Source organism: Homo sapiens, chromosome 20 (genome assembly GCF_000001405.40).
Source record: "Homo sapiens chromosome 20, GRCh38.p14 Primary Assembly".
NCBI lineage: Eukaryota > Metazoa > Chordata > Mammalia > Primates > Hominidae > Homo > Homo sapiens.
In genome coordinates, this window is record NC_000020.11 from 6,364,973 (window position 1) to 6,370,083 (window position 5,111).

The 5,111-nt window shown below is 33.2% G+C and overlaps 1 long non-coding RNA gene across 1 annotated transcript; it reads left to right on the plus strand.

The window, feature by feature from the left end:
- The first annotated feature begins 3,769 nt into the window (after nt 1-3,769).
- On the plus strand, nt 3,770-4,897 carry LOC124904866 (uncharacterized). Its single transcript, XR_007067513.1, has 2 exons — nt 3,770-3,860; nt 4,275-4,897. It is a non-coding gene; the product is annotated as an uncharacterized LOC124904866 (long non-coding RNA).
- Nucleotides 4,898-5,111: the final 214 nt, after the last annotated feature.

Consider the following 5,111-nt stretch of genomic DNA (forward strand, 5'->3'; position numbering starts at 1 on the left):
TTACAAAGTTAACTCACCCTGACAATACCCTGGGTCTTAGAGAATAAAATGTTCAATTTATTAGGTAATGGCAAACTGTTTTTCAAAGACACTCTTATACTCTGCCCAACTGTGTATGAGATTTTCTTTTGCTACATATCCTTATCAACACGTGGCATTTTCCAATTTAATAAATTTTACTAATCTTATGAGTATTAAGTGGTATCTCAGTTTGCATTTAGTTTTTATTTCCTTAATTACTAATAAAGTCAGTCAACTTTTTATATGTTTATGGGCCATTTATATTTCCTTTTCCAAGTGTCTGTTTGAGTGATTTTCTGATTTTTCCGTTGAGTTGCTTATCTTTTCTTTGTATGCATTAAAAAAAGTCTTTATATGTCATGAAAACCAATGCTTTGTCAATCATATATGCTGCAAATGTCCTTTTTTTTAAGAATTTGACTTTGGGTAAGATTTTTTAGATTTAATTTTTAATTTTTGTGGGTACACAGTAGGTGTATATATTCATGGGGTACATGAGATATTTTGACACAGGCATACAATGTGTAATAATCACCTCAGGGTAAATGGGTTACCCATCACCTCAAGCATTTATCCTTTCTTTGTGTTACAAGCAATCTTATTAAACATTTTTAGTTATTTTAAAATGTACAATAAATTATTGTTGACTGTATTAACCCTGTTGTGCTATCAAACATTAGGTATTATTCATTCTATCTAACTGTATTTTTGTACTCATTAACTATTTCCACTCCTGCCCCTACAACTACCTTTCCCAGGCTCTGTTAACCATCATTCTATTCTCTATCTTTAATTTAATAGATAGATATCTCTATCTATGTTTAATTGCTCTAATTTTTAGCTCCCACAAATAAGCGAGAACATGCAAAGATTGTCTTTCTGTGCCTGGTTTATTTCAATTGACATAATGACCTCCCGTTCCATCTACGTTTTTGTAAATGACAGGATCTCATTCTTTTTTGTATGGCTGAATAGTACTCCATTGTGTATATGTACCGCATTTTTAAAAATCCATTCATCTGTTGATGAACACAGGTTGATTCCTTATCTTGGCTATTGTGAATAGTGTTGCAATAAACATGGGATTGCAGATAACACTTCAAAATATGATTTCCTTTCTTTTGCTTATATACCTAGAGTAGATTGCTGGATCATATAGTAGTTCGATTTTTAGTTTTTTGAGGAACTCCAAACTGTTCTTTATTGTGTTTGTACTAATTTATATTCCTACCAACAGTGTATGATGACTTCCTTTTCTCCACATCCTAGTCAGCATTTGCTGTTGCCTGTCTTTGGAGAAAAGCCATTTTTAACTGAGATGATATGATATTGCATTGTAGTTTTGATTTGTACTTCTCTGATGATTAATGATGTTGAGCACCTTTTCATGTACCTGTTTGCTAATTTGTATGTCTTTTGAGAAATGCCTATTCACATCTTTTGCCCATTTTTAAATTGGATTAGTAGATTTTTTCTATAGAGTTGTTTGAGTTTCTTACATATTCTGGTTATTAATCCCCTGTCAGATGAATAGTTGGAAAATATTTTCTCCTGTTCTGTGTGTTACCTTTTTACTTTGTTGATTTTTTCCTTTGCTGTGCAGAGCTTTTTAACTGGATGTGATCCCATGTGTCCATTTTTGCTTTGGTTGCCTGTGCTTGTGAAGTATTATTACTCAAGAAATCTTTGTCTAGTCCAATGTCCTGAAGAGTTTCCCCAAAGTTTTCTTACAGTAGTTTCGTAGTCTGAGGTCTTAGATTTAAGTCTTTAACCATTTTGACACAATTTTTAAATATGATTAGATAGGGATCTAGTTTCATTTCCCTGCCCATGGATATCTAGTTTTTCCAGTACCATTTATTGAATAGACTGTTCTTTCCCCAATGTATGTTCACAGTTTTGTCAAAGATGAGTTCACTGTAGGTGTATGGATTTGTTTCTTGGTTCTCCAATCTGTTCCATAGGTCTATGTGTCTGTTTTTATGCCAGTGCCAGGCTGTTTTAGTTACTATAACTCTCTAGTGTAATTTGAAGTCAGGTATGTGATTCCTCCAGTTTTGTACTTTTACTCAGAATAGCTTCAGCTATTCTGGGTGTTTTGTGCTTCCATATCAATTTTAGGGTAAGAAAATATTCTGTGAAGAATGTCATTGGTATTTTGATTGGGATTGCATTGAATCTGTAGATTGCCTTGGGTAATATGGACATTTTAACAATATTCATTCTTCCAATCCATGAACATGGAGTATCTTTCGATTTTTTGTGTCCTCTTCAATTTTTTTCATCAATGTTTTATAATTTTCCTTGTAGAGATCTTTAACTTCTTTGGTTAATTCTTAGGTATTTTATTTTATTTGTAGCTATCATAAGTGGGATGACTTTCTTATTTTTCAGTTTGTTCACTGCTGGCATATGTAAATGATACTTTTTTAATATATTGATTTTGTATTCTGCAAATTTACTAAATTCATTTATTAGTTCTAGTAGTTTTTTGGTGAAATCTTTACATTTCTCCAAATAGAATAAGATCATATCATCTGCAAACAAGGATAATTTTGACTTCTTCCTTTCTAGTTTGGATGCCCTTTATTTCTTTCTCTTGTTTGATTGATCTAGGTAGGACTTCCAGCATTGTGTTGAATAATGATGGTGAAAGTGGGCATCCTTTTTGCATTTCTGATCTTACAGGAGAGGCTTTCAGTTTTTCACCATTCAGTATGATACTAGCTGTGGGTCTGTCATGTATGGCATTTATTATGTTAAGGTATGTTCCTCTTATATCCAGTTTTTTTGAGGGTTATTTTTTATCATGAAGGGATGTTGAATTTTATCACATGATTTTTCAGCATCGATTGAAATAATCATATGGTTTTTGTCCTTCATTCTGTTGGTATGATGTATGACATTGATTGATTTGTGTATGTTGAAACATCCTTGCATCCCTGAATGCATAATGAATGATCTTTTCAATGTGTGTGGCATTTGGTTTGCTAGGACTTTGTTGGGGATTTTTGCATATCAAAACCTATGGGATACAGAGAAAGTAGTACTAAGGGAAAAGTTTCTGGCTATAAGCACCTACATCAAAAAAGTAGAAAAACTTCAAACAAACAACCTAACAATGCATCTTAAAGAAGTAGAAAAGAAAGAGCAAATCAAACTCAAATTTAATAGAAGAAAATAAATAATACAGATCAGAACAGAAATAGATGAAATTGCCAAGTAGAAAACAATACAAAATATCAATGGAATGAGAAGTTTATTTTTTGAAAAGATAAAACAAAATTGACAAACCTTTAGCCAGACTAACTGAGAAAAAAAGAAAGAAGAGCCAAATAAATAAAATCAGAGATGAAAAAGGAGACATTACTAATTATACCAGAGAAATTCAAAGGATCATTAGAGGCTACTATAAGCAACTATATGTCTTTGTAAAGGTCTGAAGTAATTTAGCACCTTTATTTTCAGACCCAATATTCACACTAAGATCCCTTACCAGGGTTCAGTTTGTTTAGAATGTGATCCCCAAGGCCAGGAGGTGAACCCTTAATGTGTATAGGGGAGGGAGGGAGATGAGTCCGACTGATCCAGCTCTTTCAATAGCTTGCCTTTAGTTAATGGCCTCGATGAATGCTATGGGTTCTCTTTAATGATGTCTTTCGTATAATTTGGGCAGTGTTTTTCCTTTCTTATGCTTCTTTGTCCTTCTAGTCCTTTTCCTTTTTAGTAATTCTTCAGAACTTCTCACTTAATATTTACCTCCTTGTAATGGTTAACTTTATATGTTAACTTACAGGGTATTTTCGGGTGAGATGAACATTTAAATTGGTGAACTTTGAGTAAGTAGCTCTCTATAATATGGGTGGGGCTCATCCAATCAATTGATTGCCTGACTAGAACAAAATGATTGGCATCCTTTCGCAGGAAGGTATTCTCCAGCCAACTGCCTTTAGCGAGGAACTGTATTTACCTTCCCGGGCTGTCCTCCAGCTCCAGCCTGCCAGCCCATGCTGCAGCTTTTGGACTTACTAGTATCCATAATTATGTGACTAATTGCATATAATCAATCTCTCTCCCTCTTTCCCTAGACACATACGTACACACACACACACACACACACACACACACACACTCATTCTATTGGTTCTGTTTCCCTGCAGAACCCTGACTAATACATCCTTAGACCCTTTTTGATTGGTTATTTCTGCTGTTATTCATTTACATTCCTTAAAATCTCGGTTTTGTCATTGTAGGAGGAAAATTAGAAGACAAGTATCCTCATTTCCACCTGGATCCAGTCTTTCTTCCTTGTTACTTTTATTAACAATATCAGTTAAGGTTTATATGGATGTCTTGCTTTAGCCTGTACAAAAACTACTTTGTATATGCCTTATTTTATTAATTTTGCTTTCATCAAATTCTCTGATCATAACTCTATATTCTTGTAAGGAATGCTCAGAATTATACTATTTCACTCCAAATTTTATGATTATTGAGAAGAAACTGGGTATAGAAGGTTGTGGGACCAGTTTGTGATCTATTGCTTTAAAATTTGGTCAAGTCACTCAAATTCTCTAGCTGTACCTATGAAATAGCTTTAATATTTCAATCCCCTGCATTTTCTTTGCATAATATGGAGTTTGAATTGAAGTGGTCCTGAATTTGAGTGCTGCATATGCTACTTTTGAGATATATGATCTTGAGCAAGTTGCTTAATCACATTAAACCTCAATTCACTCATTTTTAAAATAGAATAAATAATAGCTACTTTACAGTGTTGAGAAAAGAATAAGATGAAACAGTTTATTAAAAACATAGAAGAGTGCTTAGGACATAATAAAGTCTACATAAATTGTGCCTATTGTTATTACTAATACCACTATTATTTTTCTTCATTTTTTCCTTAATTCAATAAATGTTTATTAAAAGCCTACAATGTATCAGGCACTGCCCTAGGTACTTTGGAAACATCAATGAGCAGAACAGAAAAGAATGTTCTCTCATGGAGTTTATGTTCTGGTGGATTTATTACTGTGGAATGGGATTGTGTGTAATAAGATATTTTGTAAGCTATTGTGTTAATAACAAGC